This window comes from Homo sapiens, chromosome 11 (assembly GCF_000001405.40).
Source record: "Homo sapiens chromosome 11, GRCh38.p14 Primary Assembly".
NCBI classification, from domain to species: Eukaryota; Metazoa; Chordata; class Mammalia; order Primates; family Hominidae; genus Homo; species Homo sapiens.
The window spans coordinates 128,148,894-128,168,183 of record NC_000011.10 but is presented as its reverse complement, the minus strand read 5'-3'; the positions used below and the strand labels follow the sequence as shown (position 1 = coordinate 128,168,183).

General features: G+C 39.4%; 1 long non-coding RNA gene across 1 annotated transcript in view; it reads right to left on the bottom strand.

The window, feature by feature from the left end:
• The window catches only part of LINC02725 (long intergenic non-protein coding RNA 2725), an 87,798-nt gene that overhangs the window by 15,373 nt on the left and 53,135 nt on the right, over nt 1-19,290 (bottom strand). Inside the window, exon 3 of the long non-coding RNA NR_183639.1 lies at nt 929-1,012. This is a non-coding gene — a long non-coding RNA (long intergenic non-protein coding RNA 2725). The remainder of the gene's footprint in view (nt 1-928; nt 1,013-19,290) is intronic.

The window sequence follows — 19,290 nt, the reverse complement described above, 5'->3', positions numbered from 1 at the left end:
TCTAAAACAACTGGTCCTGTTACAGTCAATGTCTGTCAAAATCACCCCGTTTCATCTTCTTCATAACACTTATCAGTACCTTAATGATCTTATTTCTTGGTTTATATATTTATATATTGTCTGGCTCTTTCCACTATAATGCAATCTCTTTGAAGATGGAGATTCTGCCTTTCTTATCAAATGTTGTGTTCCACACTTTTAGAACATGTTTATCATGTCTCAAGTCATATAATAATATACATTACTAAATATTTGTTAATTAACTGACTAACCAAGTTTTCCTATTGTTATATATGAGCAATAAAGAAATAGAAATAAAACAGCTAATTAATGAGGGTTAGATAGTCTCCAAAACAATATAGAACTATTTGGTTTAGAAAGGAAACTTGTAATAGATGAATAGAGACTAAATGTACACAAGACCCTTTCACATTGTCTCCTTTTTCTGTTTGACAAGGCTTTATAGAGATATTTACAAGAGTGAGAACATCCTAGATAGATGGATAGATTGATAGACAGACCTAGTAATTACCTAGCAGTAGCAGCCAGTATTAATATCAGTATCAGTGTCAGTATTTACTGATCCTGCTAATATCCTAGAGTGTCAGTATCCTTTTCTGATAATCAGTATCAAATTATGGATATTAGCTATTAATAATAATTATTATCGGTATCAGTGTCAACTATCAGTATCAATAATCAGTAATTACCCAACATCAGTATCAATATCAGCCAGGGTCCCAAAAGGAAATGGACAGCACATTAAAATGAAGTAATTTGCAGACAATTTAATAAAGAGATTATTTACAAGGATACGGGGGGTGGGTGGTTAGAAACAATAGGAGGGACTCTGATGCTAGAGATAGGAGGGATGATTCTCACTGCTACGCTGGAGAGTGACGAAGTATTTACCTGACAAAACACTTACACTTCTCCAGAGAGGAGTGTAGACAGAGGGCCTCCTGACAGCAGCTGCAGCCTTCCGCAGAAGATCACACTAACCCAGTAGGACCTGCCAGAAAGGGAATTAGGGAAATAATTGTCTCAACTTCTCTCTTCCTCCACTTGCTCCGTCTCCCAGAGGCTGACTGTCCCACAAGCCGAGCTCCACCAGAAGCTTGAGGCCTCCTGATGCGGCACATCTGGATTAGCCTCCCAGAGCACACAAAGGGCGGAGCAAGTAAAGAGGGACCCTGCAGGAGTACATGGGAGACATTCATCACATCAGGGAAATGCAGATAAAAATATAAACTATGGTCGCATTCAAAGTCGACAGGCTAGGTGCCAGCAGAGCTGCAAGCTGGTATCAAAGCAGCGGCTGCTCGCCCTCCAAAAGGTTTCTACCAAGGCACAGATCCATTTTCTTCTGTTTGGCAAGGATAAGAAAGAAGATGCTTGATACTGACTCGTAAAACCAATAGGGAGGAAGAGTGCCTGAATACAGCACTTTCTTTTTCTTTTTTTTTTTTTCTGTTTTGCATTTATCTTTTTTAAGCCTAAATTGATGGCACAAATTCAGTTCATAAGAAGAGCAAGAGGAGACATGGTAGGAGTGGGCTGGTGCAGTGTCACATCCGCGTGTGTCATGGTGCACACACGCTAGGTTTGGTGGTGCTCAGAAGTCTGTGCTTTTAACAAAACTTTACATTAAAGAAATGGACATACTTTAATAACCTCCTAAAGCTAAACCTAGGAAAATAGAAGAGTCAAAGGACCTTGCAATGTTAAATTTTACTAATCTGTTGAGGTTCCAAGCATTATAACTAAGAATCCATATCCAATTGCCCATAATTTAGTACTACTCCTGCCATATCCTTGACCAGATTTTCAACACCTTTCCTTAGTAACTTTTTTAAAAGACATCATAACCACTGAGAAGGAATTGCAGATAATTTCTCTTCAGCATGATAAAAGAAAGCACCAGAAATGTCATATGTTGGTCCTTTTCTTTCTTTCTTTTTAATATTTTGCTCCCTCAAAAAACAGTTGACTTTCTGCAAGAGAAAAAAATCAAAAGTATTTAACATTTCTGTTTTATTTCCCTGAGCCTTTTCGTGGTTGTTGTTGTTCCATTTATTTGACCTAATGACATTTAGGAAAGATCTAGAATATTTTACATAACTTTTATGAATCTGGGCATGGAAGAAAAACAGTTGGGAAGAAGAACAGGCATAGACAAAATGTGTGGAGGGAAATCAGGTGAGTCTGAAGAACTAGGAAGTGGGTGATGGAACAATGCTCTCTAAGATCCGTCTCAGACTTGGAACTTGAACTAGGGATTCTCGACCGTGGAGTTGTCTATAGAGCACAAAAAAAGAGAGTTATGAAGAAAAAGGAGAAGAAAGGAGAAAGCTAGAGAAGCTACAAAGAAAAGGAGGAGGAAAGCCTAGAGTAAGAGGAGAGGAGAAAGAGGAAGAGAGGTAGAGAAGAGAGCAGAGGCAGCTGGAAGTGAAGGAAGTTGAAACCTCACAGGAAACTAGCCTGCTCAGAAGACAGAAAGGCTGTACTGATTCTATTTCTTCCCAGCATGGATAAGCCACTTGCAAACACTTTCCGGTAGTGGAATTTTGAAGTTTTCTCCCTCTTGAATATGTAAGGCCAGCAAGGGAAACTCAAATTTATTTTGACAAATGCATCATTAAAGGAAAAAAAGCATTCACAAATATTTTATATTGATATTGAACATCTGAATGATTAACATTCATGGTAGAAAAGCCTTCATTGCCCAGTCCTGAGTTATGAAATGATCAGATTAGTTATTTGCAACTTTAGACAATGTCACTCAAAGGAAAATAAATACGCAGAAAGCTATCAGCACAAATGGAAGCTAGGCCATAACAAATCAGGATGAAGGGAAGAGGGTTTTCCTTCCCTTTATTTCCTCCCTGAAATCCTTTACCCTTCTATCTACTAGTAATATGATTATTCCTAGGAACGCCACACACACGCACACACACTTCAGTATGTGCACACATACAACTGCTTCTAAAAGAGAGGAACTTTTTTTTTTTAGACAGAGTCTTGCTCTGTTGACAGGCTGGAGGGCAGTGACATGATCTCTGCTCACTGCAACCTCTGCCTCCCGGGTTCAAGCGATTCTCCTGCCTTAGCCTCCTGAGTAGCTGGGATTACAGGTGCCCGCCACCACACCCAGCTAATTTTGTGTATTTTTAGTAGAAGCAAGGTTTTGCCATGTTGCCCAGGCTGGTTTTGAACTCCCAAGCTCAGGCAGTCCGCCCACCTCAGACTCCCAAAGTGCTGGGATTACAGGCATGAGCCACCATGCCTGGCCTAAAAGAGAGGATCTTTTAAGGAGCTAGTGCAAGTACTGGATCTGTTAGTGTGTGAAGCTATTTGTCACTTTGTCCTGACTGTGTGACTGACGTGTGTGTGTGTGTGTGTGTGTGTGTGTGTATGTGTAATCTTACAACAGCAGGCTGTGTACACTTTAAGGCAACTTTGGGGTTCAAAATGAGAAGCAGACTTCTTAGTTTCTTTTGAGTACTTCCTTTTGTGAAGAGGGAGAAAGAAATACAGTATTTGTCACCCAAGTCTCAGCCTCTGACAATAGGGAATTGTTCTTTCAATCTAGTTTCAATTGTCCCAAGCAGTAGGATTTCCTTTGCTCTGTTTGGGGAGCCAGTTTAATAAATAACCCTTTCTACATGCAAGCAAGCATTTCGCTCAAGTCTAAAGTCTTTTTGTTTGTTTTATTTACTTATTCCAAATTATACTTTCAGCACTCTCTGAAGTATTATTATATCTATATGGTTATGTATGTTAACAGTCAATGAACAACCAGAGACTTTTGAATTCTAATCTGTTTTTCCCGAAGTAACACAAAGGGATTTTGAATGGTAATGAGCTTGCCTGGGTAGAGATGCAGTGCAAACATAAAGCACTGGACTCTGAGGTCATCATGCATGAAGACTACAAGCAAACGCTGACGGAATCCGCTGGAGGACCCCGTGTGGACCCCAGAAGTGAGAGCTTTGATGACACCACATGACCCTGTGTTTGCATAAATATATTCATAGATAGGGAATTCCTGACTGTGAGTAGAAATCACAATTGCTGGGGTAATGTGTATCATTATCTCTGCTTCTGCTTCCTTCTCCTTCAGATAATCATATGAACTTTCAACAGGCTGCTGCACTTCTAAAATTATTAGAGCAGGCCAGGCATGGTGGCTCACGCCTGTAATCCCAGCACTTTGGGAGGCCGAGGTGGGCGGATCACCTGAGATCAGGAGTTTGAGATCAGACTGCCCAAAATGGTGAAACCTCATCTCTACTAAAAATACAAAAATTTGCCAGACGTGGTGGCACACGCCTGTAATCCCAGCTACTTAGGAGGCTGAGGCAGGAAAATCACTTGAACCCAGGAGGTGGAGGTTGCAGTGAGCTGAGACTGTGCCACTGTACTCCAGCCTGGGTGGCAGAGTGAGACTCTATCTCAGAAAAAAAAAAAAAGAAAATTATTAGAGCTAAGGTACATTGTTAATTTTGGTATGTTTCTAATTTTAAAAATCTAACCCAGTGGCCATGCAGATACCTTTTCAGTTATCTAACTTAGTCACTTTTCAGACTAACAAATATGTAAGAGTGAAGAAAATGGGAATGTTTATACTGTTCTGGAAAGGAATTTAATAATATTTATTAAAAATTTAAAAACATGGCCTTAACCTTTGACCTCCAAATTCCTCCTATAAGAAGTTGTTGTAAAAAAGACAGTCAAGACTACACTCAAAGATTGGCATCTTTTGCAAATTTATTTATAATTAAAAGCAAATGTTGACATAGAAACCAACATAAAAGAATCAGTTAAATAAACAATGGTGCATCACTTGTTGGAATATTATGGAATCCTCAAAAAGAATTATATTTCAAAAATATTTAATAATGTAACAATACTATACAATTTTAAGTTTTGTAAAAGTAGAAATGCTTTTGGAATATAATTCTAATTTTAGAAAGTGTATGACACATTTCTATGTTAATAACAGCTGAAAGTCCAATTTTGGGCCTATACTGGTTGTCAGAAAAAAATGAACAAACTAACTTACTTACTTTTAGGCAAGCCACATGCTCCTAGGGCTCACAACAAGATTCAAACCATTTGTTTCTTTCCTATGAAGTTCATCTTTCAAATTATACTGTGTTCACTGCAGAGGGCAATGAGATTTTCCTTCACATTTGAGAATCCCTTGGTCTTTGAATCTCTTTCCTCTCTCACTGATGGTCCTGCTTCACCCTGGAGGAATATCTGGCTCATGTATTTCTGGATATTATACCTGGCTCATTTTAAAGGGGTGGCATTGCATTGCTTGTGATAGTTTTAGGTTTCATAGCCTTTTTTAAGAATAAATTATCTCCAGACAAACAAGCATTTGTTTTTTGCCAGTATTCACCACCTCTAGCTATCTTATTCAAAATCCTTTTTCATATGTGCAAGAAAAAGAGAAGAAAGAAAATGTCTACACATGCAAACACACACACACACACACATGATTGAAATAATAATACTCAAAATATTAGTAGTTATTCCTTGGCTTGAAGATTATAGGTGACTTAATTTTCATAGTTTTCTGTATTTTTCAAAAATGAACATATTTTATAAACATGAAAGGATATTTTTCTTTAAAAAGAGTCCATTTAAAAGAGAATATATCAATCTTCAAACTGCAAAATATTGATAACATTAATTCTCAGTCTGTCTTCTTATATGTAACTGCATTAGCCAAGTTATAGATTCAAAAAGACTTGGTGACTAGCAATTAATATTTTTTAAAAACTCATGAACCAAAATATCCATCCCAAAGAGAAGCTGGCTAATTAATAGAGTGTTCATAGCCTCTAAATTAGATAGGCATAAGATATTGTCTCTGATTCATTCCATTTAATATTAACAGACTATATTTAATCAAGAAATCTAGTCAGCAGAGATGTTACTTTTGACATCAAAGTAAACCTACCGGCAACAGATCAAATTCCAGCCATGTGAGGCAATTGGATTTTGGAGAGGCAGACATGTTTTTATGCTACTAGTTAATAGTGAATCTCCCTTTTGGGGGTTGTAGAAGAGCAGCTTCAGGGAGCAGCTGTCTTCTGGGACAAAACTGACAACAGCAACACCATGAAAAATCCTGGCCTTTAGTTCTTCAGGGGTGAGTTCATTGTCATTTAGATACATCAGTTAGATGGAACTCAATAGACTGCATTCAATTAATCAATTCTCTTGAGAAGATAAAGTATAAAGTAACAATCTAAGCTTTTGGTTCAGAACCTTTAAGGTGTCACTCACCATGATTGAAGCTGAGCCAGAAATGTCAGCTTTGCTAATTAAGTCTTTGCTGTTTCATCTACTTTTCAACTGACCTGGCAAATCTGAACTTCAGAAGATGATAAACTATGACCAACACTGGGAATTCATTTTCTTAAAGCAAATTCAGGAGGTGTGAATTCAACCCAGTGATGAATATGTCTTTCTCCTTCCAAAGCATCATCCATACCAAATTTTACAATTTGGCATCTGTTTTGACAACTCTAGCAAGCAATCATTTTGACAGAAGACCATCTGTGTTAAGCAGCATGCACAGCGTCTACATGAAACAGAAAGGAACAGAACAGTGCCTAGGAACAGATCACTGACTAAAATGACCCTGGAGTTTGGTATTTAGAATCTCAGGGGAAAATATATGGCAAGAGTTGGACATTTGAGGCAGATTCCTGTCTAGAATGGTTTCAAGGGCTAACACTCTCCCTTGAGGACTGAAATGATGAGAAGGAAACATTTAATAAAAAGTTACCAGTACTGGATTAAGAAATTGGCTCTAGTCCTTTCTCTTCCATTAACTACTTGTTACGTAGCTACTTGACCTCTTGGTATTCTGCTCTTTTCTGCATTAACGAGTTGTGTGTTTCCTTGCGTAAGTCCCTTAGCACATGTTTGTCTAACAGGCTTCACAATTTCTTGGAATTGTCTATCCCTCGCTTCCATGCATTTCCCAGGTTCACTCCAGACAATGAGCCTATCAGTCACATGTCTGGTAAAATTTCATTGCCTCAATTACATTCTTACCCTTGTGTTTGGAATAGAGACTAAGATATTCCAACTCAGAATAATCTATTCTCTTTGAGATATAAACTGAGATCTCTTGGCAAGAGCCATTTCTCATCACGTGTACAAGGAACTGGAGAAGACTATTCTGTGTAAAACAGAGAGTAAAGTAGATAAGCAGATAGTAAAGACAGTGGATAAAGAGAAAAACTCAGATAATTTACTTAAATTCACTTGTTCTTGAAGCCTAGCCTTACTTATCTCCCTGGGTTTTAGGAGAAATTTTAGTATCCTCATTATTCATTGCCTTTTTTTTCTTTTCTTAAGCTACTTTGTCTTTTACAGTAAAAAAAAGCTAACTAATTTAACACTTTGTAGGATTTTGTTCATGGATTTACTGCTATCTTTAATTGGATGTATCACTTAAGAATATTTGGTTCTCAACAAGGAACATTAATGATCCTAGTACAAAATCAGGATGCTGAATTATATGAGTTCTGTCATCCTATGCTGTTCTAACCTATAAGTCTATGTCTCTATTCAAGGCAGATTTTGGTTTTAGTTAAAGGGGAATACAAAGACAAGTAATAAATCATTTCTGTCCTTACAGATGAGTGGTAAGACATCTACACAAATAGCTATAAAAATCCACCAACTCTTGATGCCAACTGTAAGAGAAGCTAAAAAACAGAATGTGCCTGCTACATTCTGGCATCACTAAGTAATTCTGAGTCTTCATACTTATGTCTGATTGTAGCATCTATAATAGCAGAAATTACAAATGAAAAATACAATTGAAACAAGTGCTTCGTATTTCTATGCAGCTGGCAAAATCTGCCCCTCTTGGATCCAAAGCTGGCTTTGCAGGGAGAATTAAATATCTGATTGTTGGTAATAAGAGACCTGACTGAATTGGATCTTATGGTCCATAATAACTTAAAGACAACAGTCAAGGTAAAGACTTAAATGGGTAATAATGTGCTTAGTGACAGTTGTTGGAGCTAAGATGGCCTTTGTTTTCCAGTACAACTTCTCCACTCACTGTCTCCTCAATATGTTTTCAATCTCCCTACACTGGTATCATTGCTCATGTAGTTCCTTCCATAAGAGGTATGTCCCCTGATCCATAAATCCATAAGAATCAGCTGCAGCTTCATTTCTTTTTTTTATGGAGTTTTGCTCCTGTCACCCAGGCTGGAGTGCAGTGGCGCGATCTCGGCTCACTGCAATCTCTGCCTCCCAGGTTCAAGTGATTCTCCTGCCTCAGCCTCCTGAGTAGCTGGGATTACAGGTGCCTACCACCAGGCCTGGCTAATTTTTGTGTATTTTTAGTAGAGACAGGGTTTCACCATGTTGGCCAGGCTGGTCTTGAACTCTTGACCTCAGGTGATCCACGTGCCTCAGCCTCCCAAAGTGCTGGAATTACAGGGGTAAGCCACCGCACCCGGCTGCAGCTTCATCTCTTGAAGAAAGCTTTTGGCTACTTTGCCATGCAGTGATTTTTCCATCTTCTGAGTTAAATGTATTTTATGTTTTCTCATTTCATTTGAAAATCATGTGGTGCCTTCTTCCATCTTACGTGAGGATGATGCTAGCTACTCTAACAAATTCCAAAATTTGAGTGACTTAACCCAACAGAAACTTATTTCTTGTTCGTGACATAGTCCATTGCAGATTTCCAGCCATTAGGTGTTTTTCCTCCACGTGATGGTTCAGGAACCCAGGCTTCTTCCGTCATGCTCTCTATAAATAGTCCCAAGGCCTTGGAGTCTTCTGTATGCATCCAAAAGACCAGAGAAGCCATCCTATCTTAGCCTCAAAATGACAAACATTTTTCTCATTTTGCATTGGAACAGAACTAGTCACATGGCCTCACTTGCAAGGGTGATGGGAAATGGAGCCCCTGGCTAAAGGGCTCCTTCCAAGGGCAATCCTTAATTACGGAGGTGGAAGCTTGAATTTTGGTTGATGGTTAGCTTTGTCACACATTTTATATTCTTAATTCTCTCTCTGAAACATTTCTAATTTCAGTCCTTAAAATTCTTGATGGAGACGGAGAGCTGTTATGCAATCCGTCTTAATTATGCAATAATTTTATGCAATAATTTTAATCTCCCACAGCATATACTACTACCTTGAGCATATTTTGTTCTCATTAAGTGTCTTAATTGGTTTGTACTGAGTTAGAACAGTATACCAGAATTACTGCGATGCCAACTTCCCCCAAAGTGCCTGCATATTACTCTCTTCTCTGGTTTGTTTACTCCTAGGTAGGAATAAATAAGTGGAATGAGAGAGTTCCCTTTACAAATGTAATGTTGTACTTTACTCAGTGATACTTAGTCCACAGACATTGTGGGATAACCACAATGAACCAAACATCATGCCAAATGCTTTGGTAAAAGAAACAAAAATCTTATGGTCCCTGACCTTAAGGAGTTTGGCAAGACTGATGAGAAAAATCTGTAATGAACTTGCAGGCTGATAGACCCATATGTACAGAATGGAATGGACTTTATAATTTGAGCACAGAGGGGAGGTCTGTCTCCTTATAGTTTGATCCATTGAGATGAGCTCTACATAGAAGCCCTGAGATCATTCTTCATCCTGATAAAATCAACAGTACTACTATTAATAATAAAAAACAACCTGGTATGCACAATATGTTCTATCAAACATTCTCAAGTGTATCACATATTCTCTCATGTGTATCATGTCGTTTGCTCCCCATTACAACAATCCTTTGCAGTAGATGTTGTTTTCATTTTGGTTTGGGAAATTTAAAAAACTGAGGCTCAGGGAAAAGCGAACTTCCTAATATTATAAAATTAATAAATAGTGGCACTTGGAGTTGTCCCACTGACTGTTGCATGTTTTGTATTTATGTATCACACACTTTTTCTTCCCTTAAGCTTTTGGCGAGAAAAGTCAAAACGACAGAGCCAATGATTGAAAACATCTCTGTGCCCTCAGAGGTCTAATGAATGGGTGGGTTGGCATTTACAAAGCCACATGTACCAGTTTAGACCACTAGGGGGCCGTTATCAAATTGCTTTTTCCAGTGAGAGTGCTAACTAGTACCTCAACTATGTGATTCTCCGGAGACCCCAAAATATCAAGGATTGAGTTAGGGTCCAAAATTACCAGCTTTTCTTGAATATAGCAAGAGTTCAGATAGAGAGAGCCCTTCACTGAGAGTACAGAGTTCACAAACAGAAGCTTGGAGTCCATATTGGCTCCAGACCATCTTGCCAATAACAGAGAACTCTGTTGAAATTGAGCGCTGTTACAGCTCCACCTGCTGGAATTTTCCTAAACCAACAATTGGAATTTCCACAGAAATTTACTAAGTGTGACAATCCAAGACAGAATTTAAAATCTTAGTGTCAATCCATCTCTCTCTTCAAAAGATTTGCAGTAACACATGTGTGAAATAAGATAATGTCCCATGGAAAAAAGAATAGTCACAAAAAGTTATCTTACTTTCCATATGTGTAAGTATAGCTTTTCATGTGGTAAGAGATAACTTGACCTTAAATGTGCAATTTTAGATGAAAATATGATAAGAATAGTCTCTATTTTACTACCTAAAGCAAAAGTGGAATCAGTGATGATATAGAAATGCAATAACCTCAGAGTCCATAAAGCTGAGTATATTTATACAATACATTGATCTGCAGAGTATTTTTATCTTCATCTCTCTTCTATGGGCTCAAAATAAAGGTCAAATTTAGTCTTCAGTGAGATTTCCAGGGAGAGCTCTCCCTTAAAGATCTGCAGTCAAAACTTGCTTTCATGTTCTTTTTCCCTCCTCATTCTTTTCTTTTCCAGATCTTTTCACCCCCTTCGTTTCCACCCCTATCCTCCCATAAACCTGGGGCAAACTGTAGTCCATGAGCAGCAATACCAGCAACGACATCTTGGATTCGTTAAGAGCTTTGCAGATGAGCTCAAACTCATATTTCATCTCATTCCTGAAGTCATCAGATTCAAGCTTGTCACATTTTCTGAACACAAAGCTCCAGGCATGTTTTATTCATTATCTGTTCTCGTCTTTGAGACAAACACCTGCAACCCATTTCAGGGTCGAGAGACATTCATGAAGTTTCAACCCACCATGCTTAGGTTTTCATATTTCTACTTGGGCCAGGAATGTCAGAGTGTCATGGTTCCTACAGCCACTTAGTAGCCTCTCTAAGTCCTAGGGCCAGTTGCTCATGAAGGTGTCCTTGCTGTTGGCATTTGAGGGCAAAGTTGAAACTGACATAGGGACAATCTTTTATCAGCTTTTTACATTGTACGACTTAAGCTCTAAGCCATTTTCTTAAAATGCTTGAGGACGTTGGCATAGAACCCAAGGTAAGTAATGTTGAACTGAGTGTGCTGCCCTGGTGACTGTTACAGTGTTCTACATACACAACTTCATGCCTCATTGATAATGGGGATTAGTGATTGTAACACTGTGACTCACAAGATGAAAGCCCGAAGTCTAGTTTGGTCACTGGCTTCTAGGTAACCTTGGACAGTGGTTCTACTTCCCTGCCATGGTATATCTACTGTTGAAGAAGGATACTTGTAAACTAATCAATCATCTGCCAAAAAAAAAAAAAAACCTTTCCTTATCTAGTGCTCAAAAGAGAGCACATGGAATAGATTGTGTGTTCCCTCTAGAATTTGTAAAGTAAGAAATGAGCAAATACATTCCAAAAATACGCAATAGAATAAGTCAGTGGTAAAAGAGAAATACATCTCAGATCTTCTGATTCCTAATCCACTGACGGAGGAGAAAACACTGTTCTTGTGATGGCGTCTTCCTTGACGATAAATAATTTAACACTTTTAAAGTAATTTGAAATGTTAGAAGAAAAACAGAATTGGTTTAAAGTTTAGAGATTAAAATGAACATACACTAACAAACTGCATCTCAGCTTTCCATATATGCTTATCTTTTTGTACTCTGACAAAGCTATTAACTCACAAATTAATTAACCAACTAAACAAAGTCAATATAAAAATAAAGGGACAACGGTCCCAGAAGGTTAAAATGCAAGGTACTTGCACAGCAAAATTGCCAGCAAATACCACTCCTTTTTCTTGAATTCACAGAAAAACAAATCTGAAACTAAGTTAGAAAGCAATTGGTCAGTCAGCCAATAACCAGGATACCAGGCCTGGGACCTCCTATAGAGTCATGCCATTTCAGAAAGGGGTAGGATCTATGACAAGCAACAAACAAGAAGGAGAAGTGAGCCAGCAGACCATAAAGGGTGATTTCACTCCATCTCAGTTTATATTCTGATGATTACGTTCTGGGCAACATCAATTTCTTCCTACTCACCTGCTGGAGGAGATAAACATCATGGCCTGACACATACTCTACCTTTTCAACCATGACTAATCTAAACAGAAACATTCACAAAAGTCCAACCACTTAAGAGGTGTTTGTTGAGGGCATATATTGGGATTTAAGGGTATACAAATATGTGTGCGATATAATCTCTGTTGACTGGTAATTTACACTCCATTTGGGTCAACACCAGTTCCTGAGAACTTAAGCAGTAGTAAAGAAAGGGACCACTATGCAAAGGGGGTTATAAAGGATGTTAATGATGACAACAAAGACCACAACAGGTTGAAAATACATGGATTTAGAGGAGGGTACCTGTGGGCTACAGGGTTTGAGAAGACTCCTAAAAGCATTCTGAGTTGGGTGTTGAAGGTTAGGTAGGAGTTGGCTGGCAAGAATAAAATCCAGTTGTAGGAGTTAATAGAAAAAACTAAAATGTCAGTTGCAAGAAATGCCATGCATGGAGATGAAAAGGTAACATTTCTGGAGCCAGTGGTTCAGACATACATGCTGATGGCTAAATGTGTCTGGGGAGCCTCACTCTTAACTCGATTGGTTTGCTGGTTAGCTGCAGAAATTTGCACTTATTCCTTACTGCCTCTCTTTTATTTATTGTTCTAATCACTGGGCATAATAGGAGCCAGGTCATCGGAGGATGGTGCTGTGACAGCATAATGGGCTCTGGCTTTGAAAATAACATCTCAGTTTCTCCAAGGCCCCTTCTTTGGCAGCAGGAGACCATTAGCTTGTCATTGTCCAGCCCTATTGACATTATCTTTTAATTGCCCCCAAAGACCCATCTCCGAGGCAACATGTGTCTGAGATTTTCGGAGCATTGGAGATTTTGGACTGACATCCCAATCCATTTTATCATTTAACTTCAGAAATTCTAAGGGGAGAAAATGATTAAAGAGTTTAAAAAACTAAGAAGAACATTATGGGAAGATGTACGGAAGGCTGTATTCATGACAACAATTAAAGCCAAAGTAAAGTGGCAAGGAAAGCAAGTTATTCTGCAAGAATTCTAGGAACAGATGTGCATGTCTATATGTAAAGACAAGTACACTGTGTTAAATAGAATATTCAAGACCAAAATCAAATGTCTGAACTGAGTATTTTTGTAATTTTGTATAGGGCATAATGAGAGAAGCGGATGTTGCCAAGTCCTGAGAATATTTGCTGTGCCCCCAACTTTTCCTCGGAGACAGATATCTATGTCTGGGTGGTCTTTTCTGTGGCTCCATTGTTTCTGTCAAGTGTCTAAAGTGTTATTATGCCCAGGAAGATGGCCAGCTGCTTTCTATGTACCCTATGGACAAAATAAAGTAAATAGGCTGAAACAGTGTGATGAGTGTAGGTGAGACATGAAAAAGCAGTTTTGGACCATGCAGCATTTGAAATCTAACAGTCAAAGAAAAGGGACATTTCACTTTGTTAACAGCTGGTGCTGGTCTGGGAAGGTGTAGGTGTAGTCTGGTTGGGACCCTTCCGGGGGTGTGTGAAGGCTGCAAGAGGGAGGGGATAGAGTTTCCGGGCAGTCTAGGCAGCGGTGGGATGCGCTGTCTCTGGATTAGTGACAGAAGGAATCGATGCTGCTGTCAGGGTCTCAAGTCCAGGATGGGAGATGGAATCCCATCCCATGGAGAGGGACTCAACGTCTTTGAAGGTCCTTTCTCTCTAGCTTCAGGCTTCATCACCTTAGCGGCTGTGAGCTTCCCCTGGAAGTCATTGGAAGGAAAATGGACTTTGCATAAATATGTCTTTGTCCATGTGCAGTCTTTGGGCGCACGTCAACAAGGGCAGCAAGGCAGCCATTTTGCAATATGCCCTCCTCCTTGCCTGGCTCTGCCCATGTTTCCAGCTCACAATAATATCCTGGCTGCCGGCCCCTGATGAAAGCCTCTCCGGGCCTTTCCTGCAGCCTGCCTTCTTTCCCTGTTGCCCCTCCTCTCTTTGACATTCCAGAATCCTCTCCTTCCTGTTATTGTCCTGCTCATTTCTGATAAGATTATGTTTGTCCCTATGAAGAGGAATTTTTCTTTCCTGTACATTAATGTTTTTCAAAGACACACTAATGAAAAAGATCTCTATCCTAATGCCAGATAATTTATACTAAGTGTTGAGGGATCTGAGAGAGGAATAGGAGGCCCCAAGAGATGGGGAACCCAGATTCTCCTTTAATCACTTGTGAAACACTTGACGGCCTATCACCAACCTTCTGATTCTGATTTCCAAATGCAGTTTTGTTTTGGCTACAGAGCAAGGAATTGTATTTTACAAGCTGGAGTTCACAGTTCAGCTGCACAGAAGGAGTCAGAAGATGTGAGTTCCAGCACTAACCCTGCATTTGCATTTATTTGCTTACAGAAGGTTTGTGGGCCATATCTAGCCTCGGTGCCCTCATTGTAAAATGGGGACATTATTACCTACCTACCTTAGGGTTCTTGTGAGGGTTAGTGAAATACCATATCAACCATGCTTCATAAACTGGAAATATAAATAAAAGGTAGTTTGATCACCTAAACATATATAAATTGTGACTCAAGATGAGTTGCATGAACTCTAGGAAATAGGCCCCATAAAGAGTGTTAGAAAGTTTAGGCGCTGTCTTCATCCTCATAGTCGGCTTCCAGCCTGTTTGAGCTCTGCCAAATGGAAAATGGACCAGAGTGATCATTTTATAGATGACAAAATTGAGACCCAGAAAGGGAAAAAGAATTATTCACATTGGTATTTCCTTCTTTTCTTTTCTCTCTCTTTTCTTTCTTTCTTTCCCTTTTCTTTTTTCATTTTTCTTTTCTTTTTCTTTTACTTTATTCCTTCCCTCCTTCCTCCCTCTCTCCCTCCTTCCCTCCCCTCCCTCCTTCCCTCCTTCCTCCCTCTCTCCCTCCTTCCCTCCCCTCCCTCCTTCCCTCCTTCCTCCCTTCGTCCCTCCCTCTTTCCCTCCCTCCCTCGCTTCCTTCCTTCATTCTTTCCTTCCTTCCTTCCTTTGCTCTGTTTTTTTCTTTCCATAGGAATGTATATATTTTAGGTGAACAACATGATGTTTTGATAAACATATACAAAGCAAAATGATCTACAGCGAAGCAAATCAACATATCCATCACCTTCCATAGTTACTTTTTTGTGTAGTAAGAACACCTAAAATCTGTTCTCTGAATAAATTTTCAGTATACAATATAATATTATTAACTATAGTCTTCATGCTGTGTATTAGATCTATAGACTTAACAGCAAAACCAGCACAAGAATTCAGCCAAGATTTGAAATACCTGGGTTAGATTCTTTTCAATCAAATTTGTAGTTTCTCCTACTGGAAATGAGAGTATTGTGATTGTTTCCCCACTCTTTTTATATGTTAAGGCAGGATCTTGCTTTGTCACCCAGGCTGGAGTGCATTCTTACGATCATGGCTCAGTATAGCCTCAACTTCCCAGGCTCAAGAGCTCCTCTTGCCCCAGCCTCCCGAGTTGCCAGAATCACAGGCATGCACCACCAGGCCCAGATAATTTAATTTTTTGTAGATATGGGGTCCCACTATGTTGTCCAGGCTATTCTTGAACTCCTGGACTCAAGTGATCCTCCTGCCTCAGCCTTCCAAAGTGCTAGAATCTAAGCTGTGTTAGATCTAAACTAAATAGGTCATGGACCTACTGTGGGCTCTCTAGCATGAAAACAAAGAGGTTAGATTTAAATCTGCAGCCCTTGTATTTCATTGCCACTGCTAATCTGCCAAGCTGACTGCCTTGTGATCTATCCTCCTGTTTAGGGCTTGACAGTGCTTCTGTTGACTCTGCTTATTTATCCTTCTTTTGGCCCTGACTGAGCCATTTGACTTGCTGGTGTGCAGTTGCAGCTGGAGGGCAGTTTTCTGTGGCCCATTTGTCAGTGGTTCAGAGAATTTAACATCCCTCAGTGCAATGACAGATTTTGCCACCTCACCTGGAAATAATAGAAAACTGTTTCCACAGACCCCATAAGCACATAAGGAAAGGCCATTGAAAGCTTATGATGAAAGTGAAGGTGAATATTTGAAAGACCTAAGAATCCTCAAAAAAAAAAAAAAAAAAAGGATGTAGAGCTGTGGTTCTCAAACTTGGATGCACACTAGAATCATCTGGGGAGCTGGGGAGATAGCCCAGGCCCCAACCTAGATCAGTGGTTTGCCCACTTTAGCACTCATCTGAGGCCCTCAGACAGCTTGTTAGAACTGGCTGATAGGCTCCACCTGCAGAGTATCTGGTTCAGCAGGTCTGTGGTGAGCTCTGAGGATTTTAAAGACTAACAAGTTCCCAGGTGAGGCTGCTGATCTGGGGATTTTACTTTAATAAACACTTCCCTACACTAATTACGTCAAAATTTCTGGGTCCAAGATCCAGACATCAGCACTTTGTAAAGCTCCGTAGGTGATTCCAATGTGTAGCCAAATTTGAGAAGTGCGGAGAGAGAGCAACTCAGATACCAGAACTAGTAGCTATGACAGACCTTTCCCATTTCTAATCTTCTCAGGAGGATGCATCCTAAATGATTTGATCATTAAGTGACTAGGTATCTGCTTCTGTGGAATGTGCAATTTAACTCGAAGGACACTACAAACTCACCACCCCAAAAATATTCCTTCCTATGCTTCTTTCATCCTCTCCCCTTTCCTTGACTAGTTACCTAAGCTTCATGGGTCACCTATGCCTTAATCCCTGTGTCTTAAAGACATTGCAAAGGTCAGCCTGAGCTCCCTGATGGATGCTGGTAGGAGTGAGTTCAGAACCCAGCTGTATGTTCCCACCTCCCCTCCCTGTGCTCTAAAGACACTTCTGGATGAGAGAAGAGAATAGCAGGGTAAAATACCACCAGTCACAAGCTTGTTCTTATGGTTTTCAGTAGCCCCAATCACCCTCAGAGAACCAGAATCTCTGGTCATGGGGAAACTTTGCATTAAGCAGGGAATAAATTCTCACCCTCTGGAGTTAGTGGGATGATACGTGGTAAGATGAACTCAGTAGATGTTAACCTGATATTTAATCATGAGTTACAGCGAGTTAATATTAGTTTATCTGGTATATGACCAAGCTCATTATACACATGTTCTTATTCAATTCTCACAGCAACCTTATAAGACAGACATTAGGTTTCTATTTTCTAGAAGGGGGCACTAAGTTTCAGTGAGATGAAATAGTTAGCCAAAGGTCATAAAGCTGGGCTTCCTACTCACATCCGACCTGCTATACCATTGAGTGTTAGTGAATCCTGTTCAAAGCACAAGATAGCGGGGAATTGAGCAGGGAGCTATGGCATGGCGGGTACTGAAGCTAGAGCTATTTTTGTTAGAAAAACTGTTAACCAGGTTCAGGAAGCAAGGCCAGGAATGAAAAGGAGGGCACTGCTCAGAAGACCATGCTTCTGACTTCATACTTTGGCTTCAGGCCACCTTCCTCCACTGCAATAGTACCTGTGCAATGAAAAATCGAATACAACGAAATTTGTAAACATATTCTCACTAGCTAAAGATGTTGCTAACATGATGTAGCAGTAATGTATGTATATACACGTGGATGGGATTGTAAAATCTAGAAACATGTGCAAATGCTGGTTTGTGGCTTGTTCTTTTGAAAATTCTGTTTCTATTTCAACCTAAAAATTTTTTCATGTTGGCAAATATTTTTCTAAGGTATGATTTTTAGTGAGTGTATTTTATTATATTATATGCATGTGTTATATTTAACCAATTTCCTATTATAGGAGTTTAGTTTTTATCCATTTGTCCTTTTTATAAAACAAAGTTATGACAAAGATTATTTACACAAATATCAAATTCTACATTCGTACTTTTTATGTAAAATTCCTCTAAGTTGAATTTGTGGGTGTTATGTATGCATATTTTTAAGGTTTTTTGATACCTGTTATTAAATTGCTCTGTAGAAAGTTTGTTGTTGTTGTTAAAGCAGTTTCCCACCTGTGTTGTTAGAGGGTGCCTATTGTTGCCAACCTTGAAAACACTGGATATTCACACTTTTAAATATCAATTGTGTAGGTAAAAATGGTGCTTCATTAGAATTTTTTAAATCAGCATCACATTCTTTGAGATAATTAAAAAACAAATTTAACCACATAGGCTTTCTCTATTAGTCATAGGTTTATCAACCCCATTGTAATGACGAATCTTTGTTAAATATAATTTAGACACGGTAACCACTGAGCCACACTTTCCCTTTATGCTAACTTCTATCTTACCTCCTTGATTAACTCTGGACTTTCTGACTTAGAACTTGTAGAGTGTCTGTGTGTGTGTGTGTGTGTGTGTGTGTGTGTATGTGTGTGTGTGTCTTTGCAGCGGTGGGGTGTCACTTCCCCAAACCCTTCATGTTTTGGAATTGAAGAAAAGAATATTTTCTGCTTAGGAAAAGCAGCATTTCTGTTTGGGTCCTCATTCCTCTACAACCTCCCACCCCCTTGTTAGCCACCTAATTTGCCAATTAACCCAGGCATTCCTGATTCTGGGGGTAAAAGGCGAAACAGAGAGCCATGCAGACAATATATAATACCCCCATGAGGGCATCAGAATTTGACAGCCTTCAATAGGTTAATTTTTCAAAGTGGTAAGCTGATATTTCTGTATAAAATGCACATCTGCAGGGTAAACGGTATTAAGTGTTGGTGAATTATGGTCCCAGCCTAGGGGTCACTTGAGCCTCAGTGCTACAAGTACCTTAATGCTTTTTTGAATGAAGGCTCCACTAATTGTTTCCATATGATTCTCCCCTTGTCCCTCCTCCCAGCCTCCCTCACTGTCCCCACCCCTTCCCCACTTGCGCTTTGGCACACACAGGAATAATGAGCTATGAAATTGTACCATATTGATTGGGGACTGATCTTACAATAGAAACTGC